The sequence below is a fragment of the Homo sapiens genome, chromosome 2 (genome assembly GCF_000001405.40).
Source record: "Homo sapiens chromosome 2, GRCh38.p14 Primary Assembly".
NCBI classification, from domain to species: domain Eukaryota; kingdom Metazoa; phylum Chordata; class Mammalia; order Primates; family Hominidae; genus Homo; species Homo sapiens.
In genome coordinates, this window is record NC_000002.12 from 102,471,609 (window position 1) to 102,493,949 (window position 22,341).

Here is a 22,341-nt window from a genome sequence, read left to right on the forward strand (position 1 = left end):
ATTGGCATTTTTACTCTGAGAGGGACTGGACTATCAGCCATCAGGTGATCATAAGGCTAAACGGGTTGCCATATACTCACAAAATTTGGAATTTTAGAGCAGGAAAGGGTTACCAGGTATGGACAGCATCTTTATTTTATAGATGAGAAAACTATAAAGGCTCAAACTATAAGGCTCAAACAGGTAATTTTCCAAAGCCAATCAGATAACTAATGTCTGAGTACATAAGTCTTTTGATTCTTCATTTTGGTCTTTCCACAAGGCACTATGTGAGACTTGCTCCCTCATTTCTTTTTAGAAAGAAAAGTACAATAAAATGCAAATAAAAATAAAACACCTATTATAAAGCAGCTTTCTATTAAAGGATATTCATATATTCTTTGAGAAAAAATAATCGACTCAATATGTGTACCCTTCTTGTAGTCCACCTGATAGTCTCATTTCAGTGACTGAATCTAATCTATTCTGGAGTCAAACTGAAGGAAAAAGAAAAAATATTCATATGTGAACTTTTAATTCTATTGCCTCACTATGAATTTGCATCTAGGTGTTAGCCCTTCTCAACCATTCCTTTCTCAATTTCCCAGTGATGTTAGCTGAGTGTGTGTGTGTGTGTGTGTGTGTGTGTGTGTGTGTGTGTGTGTGTGTTGGCTGGGGGGAAATCCCCTGCACTCACTAATATGAACTAAGAAAAAACAAAACACAAAGCATCTTGCAGTTTGATGTAAAAGAGATGTTGGGGTAGTATATGGATGATGTATTATTCTCATTTTTTACTGAGTATCAGTAATCATTGCAAAAGTGTTGTATCTTATCCTAAAAGTATAAGAAATGTAATTTAAAATAAAAACTAACATTTAAGTGCCAACTACATGCCAAATTCTTTACTTGCTTTATCTCATTTAATGTTCCTAGCTACTCAATGAGGCAGATATTTTCCTCTCTGTTTCAGATAAGGAATTTCTGAAAGGTAATTAACTTCACCAAGGTCACCTGGCAACAAGTAGAAGAGCGAGAAGTAGGCTCATAAAAATTATCTCAAAATTCTTTCATCAACATTCTATGATGCTGCTTCTTTTTAACAACAACAAATGTTTTTTAAATGGAAAATCTGGATGTGCCATGGAGTTTTACAAATCCAGGTATTTAGGTGTATTTATGGAACTTGTTCTTTGGCTTCCTGTTTTTTAAAAATTATAGTGTAAAGTTCATAGAGATCTGGAACTTCATTCCTTCTATGAATGACTGCTCATGGAGTCTGGTAACATGCAAAAGTTTCAGTGTTTGCTACCATCCTTGTTGTTACCACCTCCTTCTTATCCTCCTTCTTCCTCATGTATAGAGACCATATAAGACAGTTTGCTGGACAATTCTGGTTTGTGCCTATAGCTTTGCATAATTATCATTATTATTCATTCCCCAAAGTGTCCTGGTTTAGATAATTTCATGGTCACCTTAACGTTCATAACTGAAAGTGTCAAGGGTGTTGTATTGCAGGTGCCCACTAGGTGTCAGCAGTGTGACCTCCAGAGAACCCTCAGAGAAAGGATTTCATTACAAAAGTCAAATCAAAGCAAATAATTAAGTGTAGTTCCAGAGCTACCTGAAGCCGTGGTCATTCAAAACAAATGAGAGGACAGGGGGAGGAGAGAAGGAACAAGCGCAGATCAGGTAGCTCCTTCTTGGGATCTGATAGACAGGGAAGGTTTCCTTTCCTCATTAGAAGGACTCCAGTGATCTGTGGAATGAGCACTACAGTATCCTTTTAAATTTTCACCCACAAGACAAAGCCAGTATGCAGTGAAATGAGGAAATGCCTTTAAGTGAAGAGATTTTTATTTCTTTCATAAATTGCTCAAGCCATGATTGGATGGAGGTCCTCCAGGTAGCTCCATGGACTTTAACAAGTCTATTGAATAACTGCATTTGAGTTGGAAGCTGAGTTGCCTGAACACAAACGATTTAAACCAGATTAGAAAGTGTCTACATACAGAGCTCAATAACACACTCGGAATCTTCTTGGGAGGACCCACAGACTGTACCTATATTACTTTTGACCCAGGTGGATGCAGTCACTCTCTAGAAGCCTCCCCGACTTCAGATGTGTGGCACACATCCACACAGGGGTGTAGGTAGGAGAAGCCCACAGGAATGGCTCTGCAGATGTTCGTGACTTACAGTCCTTGGAATTGTTTGCTACTGCTAGTGGCTCTTGAGTGTTCTGAAGCATCTTCTGATTTGAATGAATCTGCAAATTCCACTGCTCAGTATGCATCTAACGCTTGGTTTGCTGCTGCCAGCTCAGAGCCAGAGGAAGGGATATCTGTTTTTGAACTGGATTATGACTATGTGCAAATTCCTTATGAGGTCACTCTCTGGATACTTCTAGCATCCCTTGCAAAAATAGGTAAGTCCTTAAACACCTGGTTTGGTGAGTTATCTTTTTACATAAGATAGTGAATGTGAAAATGCCTTATAGATAACGGGCTAAGAGGATTTTAACTGTTACTGCTATTACATTAAAAATTCTCTTCCCTTCAGTCAAGGGAAAGTCATAACTGCATTTTACTAAGCTATTTAATACTTTGAGATTGCTCTTTGAAATTTGAGAGCATACTTCTGGGTACTGGGCTGTGTTGGTTTCTTCTCATTTCAGGGTGACAACCATGTGACATTGTTGACATGCAAAACTCTCAAATTCTATGCTTTAAAAATATAGAGAATAAAGCACGTAGACCTGGGCATGATGCAAGGTGGAAATTTCAGGAAACACATAATGTTTCTTCTGTAAAATATTCTTGGCTGTGTAATTGTGGGCTTCATCAATCACCCCATTGTTTATTCTTTAAAAGTAGCGTGTGCTTCTTGCAAATTGACAGAAAGCAAAAAACAAGAAAACCATAGGCAACTTGTATTACTCAGTGATGGGATGTCGGGGCATATAAGATTATATCTGTCAGTAAAATATTAGTTTATACCTACCAAGTGGGGCCAGTGAGGCACCTCTAATTTCCTTTGTGAAATAAAGTGAATCCAAGTTAATAGATTAAATTCCAATCAAGGGATCTTTGTGTCAAAAACCAAAGAGGTGGCTATACTCTGTGACTGTTTAATCCCTAACTGCTCCTCCTTATCTCTTTAAAACCAGCTTATTCTAAAGTGGAAAATTAATATAATTATCTCAAATGCTAAGCACAATGCCTCCTTTGCCTCAGCTATAAACTTTATGCTATTTGAGTATGTAGATTGCCTTATTGAGATAGAATCAATGAAACATTTTAATTCTCATTTATTTATATGTGTATGTTTTCTCTAGGATGGGTGTGTAATGTGGGTTGAGCCTTGAGGTCTGGCAGTTACCTTCTGTGTGCTCTGGCTATTCACTTAGCTCCCTCCCTGTGGGTGTGGGGACACTGGTATAGGTGTCCCCTTTAGACTCTCCTTTATAGTTGCTATTCATTTTGAGCTAGTAAAGTGTGAATATTAAATAGGAATGTTAGTTTGAAGAAGTCTTGTGCAATTTGCTTAGTGAATAAGTTACACAAAGGATCTTACTATATTTTTAAGAGGTATACAAGTAAAAATGGCTTTCCAAATGGATAACATTCTCAGTTCAGAACAGTCTAACATCTTTTGTGAAATCATATAGACACTGATTGTGTTCAAGGTGATCTTACTTGGTACTTGAGTTTTCCTTTTAAAACAATATGCTAGAGATTCTGTGTTCCCTGCTCCCCATTCCACAACCTGGCTTCCTCTTCACAGAAATGGCTCAAGTCAATCTGAGTACCAGGAAACTCGTCCTGTCACTGACTAGCTAGTTGCTCTGTTTATCAGTAAACATCTAAACGCAGAAAGGCTGCATTTTGTCTTGGTTTTATATTTGTGTAAAACCTAGCTTGTTTTGTAGAGGCATTGTATGCACCCAGATTCATTCTGTCTAGGAGCGAAGAACACTGTGAAAATACGATTATTCATAGAACTGTTGGTTTAAATGTTCTTGATTTTCATGATGTAATTTAACATACTTTAGAAAAAAAGAGTAGGATATCAGAACACGCTTATTCGAGTACAATTTCATATTTACTAGTCTTCAAGAATTTAGATTATTTTTATATTCCATATGGACATGAGGAGTGAGGAGATAAAAAGGCCATATTTATTGAATATATACTATGTGCCAATTACTGGGCTGGTAGTTTTATGTATAAGGGCTTGTTTACTAGGGCCAAAATAATAATGATGATGATGATTTATAATTTCAGCACTTAAGAAATGCATATGAGTTTTTAAAGATTATGTTATAAAACATGAATCAGAATAAAATTAATAATCATTATTATGATTCATTCTTTTATTCCTCATTCCATCAAGGTACATTTTCTGAGAACCCATGAAATATGTGGAAATGACCATGGTCCCTGACCTCAAGGGACTTGGTCTAACGGGGAAGATAGGTTAACTTAGTACTTATTGCCCATAGATACTCTGACAGAAAAACATCAAAACTCTCCCCCAATCCTTTTTAAAACACCCAACTATATGCACTTATAAAACAAAGATAATGTATAACAAAGATAATACAAAGCCACCTCAGACTTTGTGGTTTATCTTCTACTTCAGTTCCACATCTTAGAACATCACAGATGAATGTTTCTTGAATCTTTGGGAAGAACATAATTGTAGGGCGTTCTTTGACTTTCAGACAGGACTTTTAATATTTGTGTCCATTTAAGCTCTAAGGCCTGAAACTGTAAATTTTAAATGATTGACTCTATTGTCCATCATGAAAGGGAGAAGTTTTAAAATGTGAAAGGCATGTAGCATTTCCCTTTACAAGGCCCTACTTATAGGTGTGTGGCCTCTTCCTGCTACAACTGTGTAGAGAGCAACTTGGCTTAAGGCAGGTGAATGTTGGAACCATTTCAGGAAACTGGATTCCTGGAAGCAGGGCCAAACTGGGGAGCCACAGGGCCTGAGAAAATCACACTATGGGCTCTTCCACCTCCTTTACATATTGAAAAAAGTTAAGTTTGGTTAAAATAAGCACTAACTGAAGAAGGAGGAGAAGGAAAACGGTAAGGAGAAAGAGAAGAAGGAGGAGATGGATAAGGAGAAGGAGGAGGAGGAAAAAGGAAGAAGGAGGAGGAAGAGAGTAAGAAGGAGCAGCAGGAGTTGGACAAAGAGAAGATGAAGAAGGAGGAGGAGAAATAGGAGGAGAAGAAGAAATAAGTAAAATAAAGAGGAGGAAGAGGAAATGCAGAAATAAGCAGTGATTAGAAAATGATGAGTTCAGTGCTCCAGAAGAGGTGCTTACACCAACCCTGAAGCCAAATGAAAGTGGGGATGGTATTCCTTGGTGATAATTATACCCTGTTGTGTTAACTTTCTTGCTTATAGTGAATGGAGAAGTTCAAAGCCATGGTCAGGGAAGCTCATATCATCTATGGATGGGTGAATCTAACAATTCCCAAGGAGATATTTGCTGGCTCCCCATGGCCTATGGCTGGAAGTCCACCGCCTTCCTTAGGTTTGAATTCAAGGTCTTCCATTATTTGTTTCAAAATCATTTTCCAAGTCCTCTCCTGACACTTTTCCCAGTTCAAAGGTTGCTCCAGCCAGGTGGATCCCCTCAATGAATGTCAAAGATATCTGGCTGGGCCATTTCTTCCTCTCTTATTTCACTCTTGATGTTCTCCCCACCTAAAATTTCTCCCATTCTGTCACCCAAATATGCAAATCCTCATCATTCTCCAACAATCTGTTCAATCTCTTGTCATGAAAAAGCTTCTCTGATAAACATTTAACTGTTCATTCATTTATACACTCAGCAAATAAGCCAGCTGTTGTGGACAAGATACTGTGCTAAGCATTTGGGGACATATGAAGATGTAAATCATTCTGCCTGAGTCTGGGGAGTTTCCACATTAGTAGGAGACATGAATCATGCACAAAACATAGTAGACAGGGATTATTGTTATTAGACGGAGTGAGATAAAATGTTTTATTATTAGTAATTCAGAGGAAGATATGAACTCAGGAAGGAGCTAGGGAAAGCTAAGCCTCAAAGGATGAGCAGGACTTAAAGGGACCAAGGAAAAGGACAATCCAAGCAGTGACAACGGAATGAGAAGACAAGTAATAGGCCTTCAGAGTGACAAGGTCCTTTGGCTGAATGCAGGCTACATAAAGATAGTGCAGAGTGTGTGGGAGACAGACTTGGAGAGAGCCCTGTGGTGGTCTCCTGAGCTCTGAACTCTCACCATGTTTGTTGATATGTTCAATATACCCTTCATTATATACTTACATGTCATCTTCTTCTTTGTTCATGTCTTGTTTCCAAAACCTTATCAATAGTGGGAATTGCAGTTGTCTATCTCTTTGGTCTTCCACCTGGCGGTACTTAACATCGTCTTTGCACAACTAATACCCTTGGTTTACAATCCAGAAGATGCTTTGTGTGCCTTCAGAATCTTAGGTGGGAATTGAGACAATCAGAGACCCATGGTGTAGAAAAATCATCTGGCAGTAGAGTGTGGTGAGACTGGAGGTCAAGAAGACAATGCAATCATTAAGATGAGAAATGGGGAAATCCTAAATAAAGGCAGTGGCCAAAGAAATGGAGAGGAGGGGATAGATTTTAGGTGTAGTGAGTGAGAGTCATGACATAAGAAATAAATACAGAGCTGAATGCATGAAGGGTCACTCATGAGAATGCGACCTGATTTCCCTCTTCAGTGGCTGACCAGATAGCAATGTCATTGGTTAAACACAGGAGACAAAATAAAGGACTTTTAATTTTTGTGTATGTGTTTGGTGAAGAGGGGAATGAGGTCAGGTAAGTTTGGAACAAGCTGAGGTTTTGGTGACTATGATAGATTCTGCATGAACTTGAAAGCTGGGCTTGCACGAGTGCAAAAGTTTCACCCTCGTTTCTCCTTTTCCCTCATGCACCCTCGCAGGTCCCTGTAAGATAGGAAAGCAGGAAGGAGGATGGGGGAGGGGGCAGCTGGCTGTGAATGATTCTGTGACCTGCGCCGAGCTGGGCATGTTACCTACTGATCTTATTGGCGACCCTCATGACACTACCAGTTCCTGCTACAGATGGGACGCTGAGGCTGAGATGCCAGTCAGCTTGTCCACGGTCCTGTCTGCTTGACTTTAAAAGACCTCAGGTACACCCAGACCGTTTCGTTTGCAAGCACCTAACTGCTCTTCGCTGTTCTGCAGGCTTCCACCTCTACCACAGGCTGCCAGGCCTCATGCCAGAAAGCTGCCTCCTCATCCTGGTGGGGGCGCTGGTGGGCGGCATCATCTTCGGCACCGACCACAAATCGCCTCCGGTCATGGACTCCAGCATCTACTTCCTGTATCTCCTGCCACCCATCGTTCTGGAGGGCGGCTACTTCATGCCCACCCGGCCCTTCTTTGAGAACATCGGCTCCATCCTGTGGTGGGCAGTATTGGGGGCCCTGATCAACGCCTTGGGCATTGGCCTCTCCCTCTACCTCATCTGCCAGGTGAAGGCCTTTGGCCTGGGCGACGTCAACCTGCTGCAGAACCTGCTGTTCGGCAGCCTGATCTCCGCCGTGGACCCAGTGGCCGTGCTAGCCGTGTTTGAGGAAGCGCGCGTGAACGAGCAGCTCTACATGATGATCTTTGGGGAGGCCCTGCTCAATGATGGCATTACTGTGGTGAGATGTCATGTGCCCGCCCGGCTTCCGGGGGAGATGAGGGTTCGGGGTGGGGCTGGGGACCGGAGGCTGTGGAGACGGCTCCAGTGTGGCTCAGCGCAGCAGGACAGGGATGAGCTTCAGCCCATGCGGTGTGGTCCGAGTTCTGGTGAATTTCCTTGGGATCTGCACTGCCTACATAACGGTTCACTCACACTGCTTGTCATTCACAAACCAACTAGTTTCGTTAAAGAGTGGAAAAGGAGAGAGAACGTATCATTCTTGAGTTAAATGTACTTTTTCACTTAGCAAACAGAAACTGTTGCTAATGGCCCTTCTGGGGTTTCACGACAGCTAAAGCAGAAACTGATGTTTTTATTTCCTCTCCATCATCAGACCTCACTCTTATTCCCTTTATATGCATTTTTGTTTTGTTTTTAACATACCACATTAGATTAGGTGAAATAAAAGATAAGGGTCAGGGAAGAGATGACAACAGATTTGTGAAAATGTGTTAGTTTTTGTATCACTTAGTTGCAGGACTTGTATGGAAAAAAGTGAATGAGGCGTTTTTGCTTATGAGCCTTTCTGGTGGGAAACTGAGAAGAACATACAGGCTTGAGCAACACCCAGCATTAAGGCTCAGGGGATGTCTGTAGGCTGGGGGTGCTGGAATATTGAGAACTAGCCAGTCCCGTTGCTCAATTTCATTAATTACTAAAAACCTTCAGCAGTTGTTAGACAAGAAGACTTTTATACATACTTTCATATACTTTTCTTATTTTTAAATTTCTATCACAGCACATAAGTAATACTAGAATACATTTTCACTGTAAGAATCAAACAGTACAAAACTATATAGCATGAAACACAAAAACTTCTGCTTGCCCTCACCTCCTCCTCTATGAAAGAGGCAACCACTTTTATCAGCTTGACCTTTTCCCTCCTGTATTTTTTATATGCATATACAACATTTTTGCAAATCTTTTATCATCTATGTGTGTGTGATCTGTATTTTTTAATATAAAGTGGGTGTATTTTATGTATTGCTTAGATATAACAAGTCTTTCCGTGTCTTGTTTTTTTTTTTCTTTTTTTTGAGACAGAGTTTCACTCTTGTTGCCCAGGCTGGAGTGCAATGATGCAGCCTCGGCTCACTGCAACCGTGTCTGGCCCTCTTTCTATGTGTTTTCAGCTATTGCATAGTATTGCATAAATTAAGTTTACAGTAACTTATTTAGCAGTTTCCTGATGAATGCGTCATTCAGGTTGTTTCCAATGTTTCATTCTTACAAGCAATGTTGAAATGCATATTGAATATTCTTTTTTTCTGCATGCCTCTCTCTTTGCATTCGTATTTTTACATGATGTTTTCTTAGAAGTGAAATTTCCAGTTTAAACAGTATGTACATTTAACAATTTAAAATGTGCTGCTGTTTTAATCAGCTCCTATCTGCCTCCTTGGTAAATGAGAGATTCTCACTCTAAGGTTATAGATGGCCAAACACAGACACCCAACACTGGGCAGATGAGACTGACAACAGTTTATCAGTCACCTGTACTTGCCAAGGGGAGGAGGATGCCACATGCCCCGCAGGACCACACAGAGGCTGCGCTTGGGAACGGAATGAACAACCAGGAGCTGTGGGAGGCAGGCTTTGTGGTAACAAGAGGGTGAGGTGCTCCCTGGTTCTCACAGGAGGAGATGATTGAGTTGTTGGAATAATTTTGCAGGTTGGCAGGGACCTAAGACCTTCTACTCAGGAAGAAGCAGGAACTGTGCCTGGTACCCTTGATAAGGAGGGTGGTTTGGCTGGGGCACCTTATCCAGGGATCGGCGTGGGGAGGGAAACTTGCATGTAGACCAGTTGAGGTCCTCATAATTTTGCCAAATATCGTGGCATTACATAATATCAAACCTTAATTTCAGGCCCTGGAACACAGTCGTCAAGATTTTCCAGAAAGCCTTTATCAGCTTATACTTCCTTAGTGTATTGCACCCATATTTTCTTATATCTTTGACAAGGGACATTGTTTCCTTAATGTTTTCTAATGCCATGAGCAAAAAGGATTTCTCATGTTTGTTTTAATTTGCATTATAATAGTAAGCAACTTTTCAGCAACTGCAAATCATGACTCTGTCACATGCTGTACATTGAAAGCTGATGTCCTTTCTGGGTTGACAAACTTAAAAAAATACTGGACACCAAGTTAAATTTAAATTTCAGATAAACAATGAATAATTTTTTTTAGTATAAGTATGTCATATCCCAATTTTTATATGCAAATGTTGCGTCTTGCTCATTTTTCTTCACTTGCTTAAAAAAAAGATTTATAGGAATTCATTAAATTATCTTACCTTTAAACTTTTCAATGTCCCATAAAGACCAAATATTTTCTTCCATTCTATTATTTAAATTTTTTTAGATTATGGTATATTTTACCCTATAAAAGTTCTAAATTTTTATATAGTGAAACCTGCTAATGACTCTTTTTTTGCTCCTGGGTTTCATATTTTGCTTCCAGAGATTGTGTCTAACCAAAAGACATGCAAACATTCTGTTTTTAATTTTTTTCCCATTTACAATTTACTAATTCATTTGGCAAGCAAGATCTTTTTTTTTTTAAACTTTATGCAACAATAGTACAGAGAGGAAAAGTCCCCCTTTGAAAAATAATCTGTGCCATACCCATGGATTTCCTAAGCGAAGGAGGCCCATACATGAAGCCGGACGTCAAATCATTTATTCATAGCGAGAATCCCTAACTTTTGAGGCAAGGCACTAGAATCATCAGGCTGGTGCATTCTACCCTTGCGGGCAAGCTTCACAAAAAGCCACATTGTCAGGAAGCTGCCCGGGGAGTCTGGACTCCAGACTGTCATAGGATTCAGAGATTTCATTTCTCAGAGTCTGGTCCTCAGGCCAAGTGTTTCTGCATCACACTGGTGGGACTGATGAGTCTTCGGATGTCCAGTCCCATTTCATACCCTCTGACCCAGACTGTCTGGGAGTTGAACCTAGAAACCTGTGTTATTAAAACCTCAGATGACCGCTGAAGTTTGAGAACTATGGATTTATTGCCTTTAGGTTGAGAGAAACTGATATATGTTGATATAAAATGATGATACGCCTAGAACAAGGACCTTATCCATCTCCCCAGACGACACTGGACTAGTCTCTGAGATCCCCTTTCCCCAACCCATTCCTTCTATAAATACTGTCATACTTTCAGTTTTGTTACAAATGAGTAAGTGTCGTTGTCTGGGAATCCATTCCATCTCTTAAGGTAGCCCCTCTGACCCATGATGTGTCCATTTCCTAGTTCATCTCCCAGAGATAACCTTCTTTCACTCAGATCCAAGTTTTTTGGAGGTTATTTGGTTACTCTCACCCGCACTACTGACAATGTCCTGGAGGGTGTTTATCTGTGACAAGACCAGGGACACCCCTTGGAAATCCATTCTGAAGCAATTATTCAACCTCTCCTTCATAAATTATTACAGAGGTCAAGATACTACTGGATAAATGCCATCTCTTTAATTTTCACAGCATATTCTTTATTCATCAAAAACTCAGATATAATCTACAAAAGTTCTTGCCAAGGCAGAGTCTTTATCAATTACCAAGGAAAGCATTTGACTCCTTCCTCGAGCTTGAGAATCTGACTTCCTCCTGAGTTGTCTCTAGATTTCACATGGAGAGCCAACTCTGGCTTGGTTTCTGGTTGGGGTTTGTTTGTTAGCAACATGTGTTTGACTTCCCCAAAGTTTAATTGCTTTGGGGGAGACATTTATAAGAATGATCATTTCAGGATAAAATCATAATTTTCAAGCTACCGGAGTATCTGCTGAGGACACTGCTGTGACCTCTGCTGGGTAGAGCTGCTGTTGCGTTGGCTCCGTGGGGTTGTCCACACTTCAATCTTGGGCCACTCTGTGGTCACCCACAGCACAGTGAGTATTAAGTGTGCACTGGCACTGCTGGGTCCCTAAGTGAAACCAGAGAAGCCCCAGGGCCATATTTAGAACACAGCTGAAAAGGAACGGGTACTTGCTGCCGTCCAGTTGTATTTTGAGCTAAGGGCCTTGACCTCACCCTTTCATTGAGGAAGGAGCCTTCTTGGGGGCAGCAGTCACAAGCATGCCTTTTCGGCAAGGAGGCTGAGTCATCCAGAAGGTGGCCTGTGATTGTGGGTTACATGCGACAATGCTGCAGATCTTCATCCACGAAAGAGCTGCCTTCCCACCAAAGAGAAGGGGTTGCTCCCAACAGTCGAAATATTGATGAATCTGATTCTCCAGATCTCTTGTCCCACTTTTTTCTCCCTCTTGCTGAATATTTTAGGTTATGACACTAATCACCAGAACACACATACGCTTAATGGTAGGCAAAAGGAGGGAGACAAAACCCAGATAGCTTTAGTGTCCTCACCCGCCACTATACACAAATGGTTACAACGTGAGAAGATGGATACAAAAATTAGCTTGACCTTAGTAACTATCTCACCATGTACAGCATATATATATATATATATATATATATATATATATATATATATACACACACACAATATACACACACATGCACATATATACATATATAATATATAGAAAAATATCTCATATATATTTATATATTAACATATTAGCATATATAAACATCATGTTGTACAGCTTAAATATATACAATTTTTTATTTTAAAAAAAGAATGTTTCTAAAATTGCATAAACAATATCCCTAGTTAAATCTCATGGCCAAAATCACAGCAGGAAGACAGGTGCATCTACTATGTCACTTTTGCATTTATTAGTGTTTTATTAAACCCTTTGCTTTTACTAAGAGGCATGACCAAGTGCCCTTACTTCATGAATGAAGACAATAAGGCAAAGGAGGTTAAAATAAACTGCACAAGGACACACTGCCTGAACAATGACAGAGCAGACATGGGTGTGCACAGCTCTCCCTCCTCCCAAACTTTTTCCTTTTTTCCTTACCTTTTGAATTTTCCACTCATGCAACTGGGAGTGACAAGAGAGAACCCACATGCTACCGATGAGGAGACTGGACTTAAGTCCAGTGAGTGAAGCCAGTGTTCTTTCTGCAAAACACTATGGCTTGAGGCAACATTCTGATCCTGTTGTGCCTCCTCTTGCTGTAAAATTGGGATAATGACATTCTTCAGCTCATAGGCTCACTGGAAAATTTATATTCAGCTCTTAGCAGAGTGAATGCCCAACCTGGAGTAAGCACTCAATGAATGCTGGCCATGACTTTGTATTGAAGCAGCTCCCGGACACTGTTTAGTGGTCGGCTCATTCTGAACAAGCAGCTGATTTTAAATATGGCACCACCTCACAGATGGGAGGGCGGATTGTTCTTAGATTTATAATCTGCCTTCGTTTTCTTGGATCAGCTTGCTGGATAAGCAACAAAGTGAGGCCACCAAGCTTTCTATCACCCCTAGCTCCTTATCTCCTCTACCTCATCAGAGAGGTCAAAGGCCCAGACAGGCCAGGGTTGAAGCTGGAACCCAAGCAGCCTGACTCCAGGGTGTCTCTGCTCTTGACTGCCACCCGGTACTTCCCCTTTTCCTCATCCCTCTCTCCCCTCCTACTCTTGCTCCCTCCTCTGGTGACATCTTCCTGGCTCTGGATGCCATTCTCTAGGAGGATAGTGGGAGGGGAAGTGGAGCTAAATGTTCTGAGCACTGGGCCATTCACCTTGATGGGTGCTTCATGCCATTTTCCTTATTTAAGCCTCATGGCACCTTAATGAGGTGGTGATAGTACACAGTGGTTAAGGACAGAGACCCCCTGGACCCAGACTGTCTAGGTCCACATCTCTGTACTGACCCTTCTCGGTCCTTCAGGCCTCTTGGGTGACTTAGCAGATCGCCATGTGCCTAAGTTTCTTCACTGTTATTTTTGTTATAAAGACACAGATTCTCATAGAAGTCATTTATCTATTCATTCACTAGAGTTTATTCTATGCAGCTCAGTATCCCAGAGACAGAGTGAAAAGTCATACTCACTGCTTTGCCCAGCCAGCAATTCCCTTTGGGTGAGGCAATCAGTGGCAACAGTTTCTATCAGAGACCATTGACCTTTCATGCAGTTTGCAATTTGCCCTCTATTTATTGTGGATTCTTGCTGCCAGCATTAGATTCTATATCTCCTGATCCCTCATGCTAGAATTCCTTTGCCGTCTTCTCTTCTCATCTGTCTGTCCCTGTAGCAACATAACTTTGCTGGCTAGTTGCCTGTTGGCTCTCTTAATTTCTCTCCATGCCATTCCCTCCTGCAGTCACAGGACTCAGCATCTAGAATGGAGCATTGCGGAGGGGGCTGAGTCAAGGGCTCTAGTGGAAGAACGAATGCAGCAGGAAGAGTGAATAATGATGAGGCGGCAAGCAGTGGGGACTAGAAGAGGTGGGCAGGGGCCATGTTGGCCCTGGGGCTGGCCTGCTGCCCAGGTCTCTGTTTCCAGTGACTGAAGCCCTCTTTCCTCAAGCCCCCAAGAGGGAGCAAACTGGGGTGATTTTCCTCAAATTAACTGTCACCGCCAAACTTCAGAGTTGCTTCCTGAACCTAAACGCTAAGGGTGGGATAAAATCAGGGGCAGGCATGGGCAGAGGGAAGAGTCCCAGGGTCCTATCTCTCTTTCCCCACACCTTGTCATGCACGTGTCCTGCACCCCCACTGTCCTGGACACAGGGCACATGAGGGTGAACCATGTATCCAGCCTATTCATTTGAGGGCAAATTTTCCTTCATGATTCCTCCTGCTTTATATTTTCCTGCCTCAAAAGGGACCCTTACTCTATTACTTCTTATTCAAAAAGTAGTAAAGCATAGCCAAGAACATGGATGGGAAGCCATATGCTTCATTGCAGGTCCTGCCTCCACTCCTTGCAAGCTGAGTGACTTCAGGTGAATCACTTACCCTCTCTGGGCCTCAGTTTCCTTTCTGTAATATGGAGATATGGTTGATGGAGGGTTAAAATGGATTGATACACGTAATGCATTCAAAATAGCACGTGGCACAGAGTGAGCCCCTGTGTTTGGTGTTATTCATCCAAGTCCACCTGCATGAGTACGTCTGAGCCACAGAGCTCTCCTGACACCCTAATGATGCCACATCTTCGTGTCTGTCTATCTGAACGTTGCAGTCTCAGCTTTTCCTAAAGAAGAGCTGTATGTGCACTTGAACAGCATCTTGAGGGGAGAGTAGGCATCTTTTCCTTGTCTTCTTTATATTTTCTTTCATTTTATTCTGATTCCAAGGATGGGAGCCAAGAGGAGATAGCTTTACCAAGAGACAGTTTCCTCTGGCCAAGAATACAGGGATCTCACTGTGTATGGGGGGCGTGGACCTACAAGTTGCACGATCTTGGGACCCAATCCTTTTGTGCCTCAGTTTCCACATATGTAAGATGAGAATGATTAATCTGACTTCAAAGGGTGATTGTGAGGATGTTGTGAAATGAGACTTCGGATGCCTGGCACAGGGCAGGTGATACACAAATGTCTTCTTGCCCTTCCTGTGTGCCAGAGATAGGTCCACACAAGAACAACCATCTGCCATCTGCCGGGTGTCTGTCAGGCATAGAAATGGAGATTACGCCTAACCTTCAGGCAGAAAGGGCCATGCAGCCTTGATTGGTTGGCTTTGGGTGCCTAGGGAGTGAACTCCACAACCCTGCAAAGTCTCAGCAAGTGCTTTATCTGTGAGGCTCTCCCCTGGGGCTGCTTCTGACCTTCTGTTGGGGAGGGCAGGAGTCTGGTGCCCATCCAGCCCAGACATGGGTCCCAAAGGATTCAGGCATTTGCCTTCAGACATGCACTTTCAGCCAAAATATTTGGAGGTTTTCACGGTGAACTTCTCAGCTCACAGCTGGTGTGTGTGTGTGTGTGTGTGTGTGTGTCACAGGCAGAGGGAGAAGTAAACCAAGAGAGAGAGAAACAGAGAGAGAGATGCAGCAACCACTATAGCTTGTGATGAAGAGCTTGGACTTGGCTGGGGAGGTGGGAGGACCTGGGAGAAGTGAGGAGCAGATCAGTGCAGGTCCCAGTAAATGAAGGAGAGTGTTGCAGGGGGCAGAGGTTCACCAAATCTGACTCCTAACCTTCCACAACAGACAACCCCTTTACTTCCTGCACTTGTGGAGTCTAAGCCACAGACTTGCCCTTTAAGGAGCAGCCTGAGGGGTGTGGGCTAATCCTTGGGAGGCATGCTAGAGCAGGACAGGGCTGGAGGGGCACTGTATTATTTCATTGCAATGCCTCCCATTTGATTCATCAAACACCTGTTTGGTTCATTTTCTTCTGGCTAAATAAACAGAATGGTTGAAGTTTGAATTGTACAAATTGGCTTTCAACTAGACTACACTGTGAGCTACCTAGGAGTAATTAGAACTCACTTCAGGTCACATGCACAAGAAAAAAGAAAAAGCCTCTCGTTATCAAGTTGTCTTTTCTTTGTCAGGAGATGGGGTTGAGCAGCTATGGAAATGGATTTGGAAGAGAAACAGGGAGAAAAGCAATGTCGCTTTAGCTTTTTAGGGAGTAATCAGAAAGAGGGCAGAAAAGCGCATGGGAGAAGTTCTCTCCCGCCAGCCTTGCTGAGTGCCTGGGATGCAGAAGCAAACAAGCTTCATCTCCTGCCTTTGAGGAGCCACAGCTATGAACACATGACTTATTTCTTTTTGTTTGTAGATTATTCCTTTTAACCATGGACCTGCTTGTTCTGTATTTTATTAGAATCCTTTCTAGCCACAGAGAATTCCTAGGAAGTTGCATAATACATTAATAGAAATTCCTGACTTGAGAGAAAAGCGTAGAGCTTCAAGCACAGCCTGGGGACTTTCCTAGTCCTGTGGTTTTCAACAGCTGTCCCACCCCCAACAACACCCGTTCATGCATCCTTAAGGGTCTGTGGGTGTGTTGGGCTGCAGTGGGAAAAAAAACATGCCCGGTGTCACGTGAAAAACCCCATGAGTTGGCTGTTTGGGAGGTGCTGGCTGACAAATAGTTTCCTTATAGCTTCCTCCATGGTTGCATAAATGGATGACATCCAGCAGAACCTGTTACACAGGCCTGGATGGGAGCACTAGATCCAGGCGATGGGTGAGGGAGGAAGCCATTGACCCTGACTCCAGGCTGAGGTCATCCATACTTTCCTCCTTACCCCACAGGACCAGCTTTGATTGTTGGTGAGTAATAGGCTAATACCACTGAGAAAGCTGAGAGACCATGAAATCTAATTCCTTTTTTTTTTTTTTTTTTGAGACGGAGTCTCGCTCTGTTGCCCAGGCTGGAGTGCAGTGGCGCGATCTCAGCTCACTGTAAGCTCTGCCTCCCAGGTTCGCGACATTCTCCTGCCTCAGCCTCCCGAGTAGCTGGGACTAAAGGTGCCCACCACCACGCCCGGCTAATTTTTGTATTTTTAGTAGAGACAGGGTTTCACCGTGCTAGCCAGGATGGTCTCGATCTCCTGACCTTGTGATCCACCCACATCAGCCTCCCAAAGTGCTGGAATTACAGGCGTGAGCCACTGCGCCAGGCCTGAAATCTAATTCCTTTATGTTAACAATTAAGTTCAGTCGTGTCTGGTGGAGCCAGAGGTCCCCTGAGTTCTAATCCTCCATCCATCCATCCATTCATTCATCAAAAAATATTACTGAGCTACTACTTAGGGTCAGACACTGCTTGTTCCACTATGCCAGAGCAATCTCCCTCTCAGAAAAAGCAAATTACAGAGCTAGTCTTTAGTGAGTTTAAATCTATCAGTTACAACTGATGCTTGCTTTTATGGTTAAAAGAGTTTTGAGGTTAAGTGGCTTTTAAACTACCTTTTGTATCATGCAGGTGAACTGACACTAGATGGTGAAAGATAGTCCTAAAGTCATTTGCTCCAAATTGATGTGGGGAGTGAAGGAGGAGAGGGATTTGCATAGACTGAGGGGTGGTAGACTCAGGTGGGTTCTTGGATGGCACCATGGGTGAGGAACAGGTGTTGGTGGAGGTGGATGATAGTATTAGGTTGGTTTTTAATTGTTGAGTCTTAGAAACCTACAGGCAATTGAAAGAAATTGTTCGGTAGTTATAGAAATGAAAATCTAGAGCCTGGGCCAGAGCTCAAACAAGATGCATGTTTGGAAGTCATTGGCAAGTAGGTGATAATTGCAGCTATGAACTATGGCAATCCTCCATCTTTCTTCAAGTTCAGAAGAGTTTCAAACTTTTTAAATTGAAAAAGAATTCCTTAAAGAAATGTCATTGCTGCACCCTAGGTCAATAAACAGGATTTATTGATACACATACTTTTTTCTCCTCCTCATTACGTGTTCTGCCATCCATTCAGTTCACCAGCTTGGCCTCTGTTCGCTGAACTTAGAAAGGATAAATGTCCAGAGATCTCAACCCCATGAACATGGATGAACACCTTGTTTAACTTCCCTATCCTGGGCTTCAGGTCTTTTTTTCCCCTCATTTAGGAGTGAGGTGAAAGAGCTTCCTCTCTTCTGCTTTTCACATTGTTATGCAAGCTTGCTAGGTAATTGCTGGTCTTCTTAGTTGGTTTCCTTTTGTGGTTGGAAAGTCAGAGAAGGTGGTTGCCAATAAACTGCCCATGACAGAGTTTACTATGCCAGAGCTCCTTAATACAAGCTAGAAAATGAACTGGGTTCATCATTTAATTTTTTGAGTCAGGTTGTTTACTACAGGTCTTTATGATATTCTTTGCATTTTTCCATTATTTGGCATGCAGGAAAGATCATTCTTATTGTATTATGTTGTGACTCTTAACTTCCAACGTTTTTTTTTTTTAACTTGACAGTAAAACAAATAAAGGGTCAGTAATTAGTTAGGCTTTTTGTTTTAAGAAACTGAGTTATGGCAAGCTCAAGCAGTGAAGATTAATTGTAAAGATATGCAAGGCGATGAGGAAGACATAGCCCTCTGTATTAGCCCTCTAGGGCTGTTGTAATAAAATAGCAGAGATTGGGGGGCTGAAACAATCTCTGAAATATGAAAGACTTTTATTCTTTCACATTATGGAGGTTGGAAGTCCAAGAACAAGATGTGGGCAGGGTTGGTTTCTGTTGAGGCCTCATTCCTTGCCTTGCAGGCAGCTACCTTCTTGCTTTGTCCTTATGTGGCCTTTCTTCTGTGTGACCCTCCCTAGTATCTCTTCATTTTCTTATAAGGACACCAATCATATTGGATTAAGGCCCCACCCTTATGATCTCATTTTAACTTAATGACCTCTTGAAAGATGCTGTCTCTATATGCAGTCACATTATCAGGTACTGGCAGTTAAACCCCAACATATAAATTTGGAGAGGGGGGCATGATTCAACCCGTAGCTGACCCCTCAGGAACCCAGGAATAATAAGTGCTTTATGATGAGGTGTCACAAAGGTTCATCTAGAACCAAGCTGCTTTTAGGAATTTCAGAAGCAAAAGTTCATAGATCTTTTACCATCAGGATGAACTTGATTATGCTGTGTAATAAGCATCTCTCCAAACCTAAATAGCCAAAAACAACAAAGGTTTATTTCTTACTTGTACTACTTGCCTTTTGCTAGCCAACAGGTCTCTCCCTTCATAATGTTTACTCAAGGTCTTTAGCTTATAGAGCAGTTACCATATTGAACATTGCTGGTCACTGTGCTGGAGGAAAGAGAGATTTCTGGAGGGTCTCACCTCAGCAAGCAAATGCCCCATTCTGGAAATGACATATATCTCTTCTATTTGAAACTCTCTCTTGTAATTCTTTCTTGAGAAAAAAACAAACAAAAACTCTCAAACTCAAAAGTTGGCCAGGCATAATCACATGGTGACAACCAACCTCAAAGAGACTAGAAGTGCAATCCTACAAGATTCCTAGAAGGGAAAGAAATATTGGATAAGCAGTACTAATAGCTATTACATTGTCATTTCGGAGCCTCATCAGGGATGCATTTGGTCGCTTGCTCACACTCTGCTGCTTTTTCAACTGAATTTTTTTATTTCTCTTCCCATTTGTACTAATGCTTTTTTTTTTTTTTTTTTTTTTTTTTTTTTTTTTTACTGTTAATGAAGAAATACCCGAGACTGGGTAATTTATAAAGAAAAAGAGGTTTCATGGACTCAAGCACCACATAGTTGGGGAGGCTTCACAATCATGGTGGAAGGCGAAGGAGGAGCAAAGCCACGTTTTACATGGTAGCAGGCAAGAGAGCATGTACAGGGGAACTGCCATTTATAAAACCACCAGATCTCATGAGACTTATTCATTATCACGAGAACAGCATGAGAAAAACCCACCCTATGATTCAATTACCTCCCACTGGGTCCCTCCCATGACAAGTAGGGATTATGCGAGCTACAATTCAAGATGAGATTTGGGTGGGAACACAGCCAAATCATATTGTTTTACCGCTGTCCCCTCCCAAATCTCATGTCCTCACATTTCAAAACCAATCATGCCTTCCCAATAGTTCCCCAAAGTCTTAACTCATTTCAGCATTAACTCAGAAGTCCACAGTCCAAAGTCTCATCTCAGACAAGGCAAGTCCCTCCCACCTATGACCCTGTAAAATCAAAAGCAAGTTAGTTCCTTCCTAGATACAGTGGGGGTAAAGGCACTGGGTAAATACACCTCTTCCAAATGGGAGAAATTGACCAAAATGAAGGGGCTACAGGCCCCATGCAAGTCCAAAATCCAGAAGGGCAGTCAAATCTTAAAGCTCCAAAATGATCTCCTTTGATTCCATGTCTCACATCCAGGTCATGCTAATGCAAGTAGGTTCCCATGGTCTTGGGCAGCTCTGCCCCTGTGGCTTTGCAGGGTACAGCCCCCACCTCCCCCACCACCCCAGCTGCTTTCATGGGCTGGTGTTGAGGGTCTGTGGCTTTTCAAGGTACAAGCTGTCAGTGGATCTGCCATTCTGGGGTCTGGAGGCCTGTGGCCTTCTTCTCACAGCCCCACTAGGCAGCACCCAAATGGGGAGTCTGTGTGGGGGCTCCAACTCCACATTTTCCTTCTGCACTGTCCTAGCTGAAGTTCTCCATAAGGGCCCTGCCCCTGCAGAAAACTTCAGCCTGGACATCCAGGCATTACCATACATTCTATGAAATCTAGGCAGAGGTTCCCAAACCTCAATTCTTGACTTCTGTGCACCCACAGGCCCAACACCATGTGTAAGCTGCCAAAGCTTGGAGCTTACACCCTCTGAAGCAATGACCTGAGCAGTATTTTGGCCCCTTTTAGCCACAGCTGGAGCTGAAGCAGCTGAGACACACCGTACCATGTCCTAAGGCTGCATAGAGCAGGGGGGCCCTGGCCTCAGTCCAGGAAACCATTTTTTTCCCTCCTAGGCCTCCAGCCATGTGATGGGAGGGACTGCTGTGAAGGTCTCTGATATGTCCTGGAGACCCTGGAGACATTTTCCCTATTGTCTTGGTGATTAACATTCAGCTCCTCATTACTTGTGCAAATTTCTGCTGCAGGCTTGAATTTCTCCCCAGAAAATGTTTTTTTTCTTTTTTAGCTCATAGTCAGGCTGCAAATTTTCCAAACTTGTATGCTCTGCTTCCTCTTGGATACTTTGCCTATTAGAAATTTCTTCTGCCAGGTACTGTAAATCATCTCTCTCAAGTTCAAAGTTCCACAGATTTCTAAAGCAGGGGCAAAATGCTGCCAGTCTCTTTGTTAAAACATAAAGAGAATTACCTTTATTCCAGTTCCCAATAAGTTGTTCATCTCCATCTGAGACCACCTCAGACTGGACTTTGTTGTCCATATCACTATCAGCATTTTGGCCAAAGCCATTCAACAAGTCTTTAGGAAGTTTCAAACTTTCACACACCTTCCTGTCTTCTGAGCCTTCCAAGTCTCTTGGAAGTTCCAATCTTTCTTGTCTTCTTCTGAGCCCTTCAAATTGTTCCAAATTCTGCCTGTTACCCAGTTCCAAAGTCACTTTCACATTTTTGGGTATCCTTATAGTAGTACCCCACTCTACCTGTACCAATTTACTGCATTAGTCCATTTTCATGCTACTATGAAGAAATACCCAAGACTGGGTAATTTATAAAGGGAAAGAGGTTTAATTGACTCACAGTTCCACATGACTGGGGAGGCCTCACAATTATGGCAGAAGGCAAAGGAGGAACAAAGTCACGTCTTACATGGTGGCAGGCAAGAGAGCATGTACAGGGAAACTGCCCTTTATAAAACCATCAGATCTTGTGAGAACTCACTCACTATCATGAAGACAGCATGGAGGTAACCATCCCCATGATTCAATTACCTCCCACCATGTCACTCCCCTAACACATAGGGATTATGGGAACTACAATTCAAGAAGAGATTTGGGTGGGGACACAGCCAAACCATATCACCACTCCAGTTAGCTTCCATATCATCCACTCAATTATCCTTTCCCTACTCTTAGTTTCTATTTTTCAGTTTTTCTGTCCCACAACTCATAGTTGTTCATGGTCCCTCATTGTCCCTTAATCTATCTCATTGTATTTATCTAGTCATCTATTCCAAATCAATTATGTTTGTGACAGAAAAAACAGTTACCATAACTGCAAGCTGGGCAGAGTGTTTCACCTCAGACTACTTCCCAGACCCCAGTCTATAGACAGACTTCTTGAGGGTCTGTCTACTCTCACCCCT

The 22,341-nt window shown here is 42.3% G+C and overlaps 1 protein-coding gene across 2 annotated transcripts in view; it reads left to right on the plus strand.

Moving 5' to 3' along the window:
- The first annotated feature begins 1,617 nt into the window (after positions 1 to 1,617).
- Positions 1,618 to 22,341, plus strand: part of SLC9A4 (solute carrier family 9 member A4) — a 60,747-nt gene continuing 40,023 nt past the window's right edge. For both annotated transcript variants that reach the window (NM_001011552.4, XM_011511158.2), the window contains exons 1-2: positions 1,618 to 2,407; positions 7,231 to 7,694. In NM_001011552.4, coding sequence (NP_001011552.2) covers positions 2,152 to 2,407; positions 7,231 to 7,694 — 720 coding nt within the window. In that variant the 5' untranslated portion in view covers positions 1,618 to 2,151. The remainder of the gene's footprint in view (positions 2,408 to 7,230; positions 7,695 to 22,341) is intronic.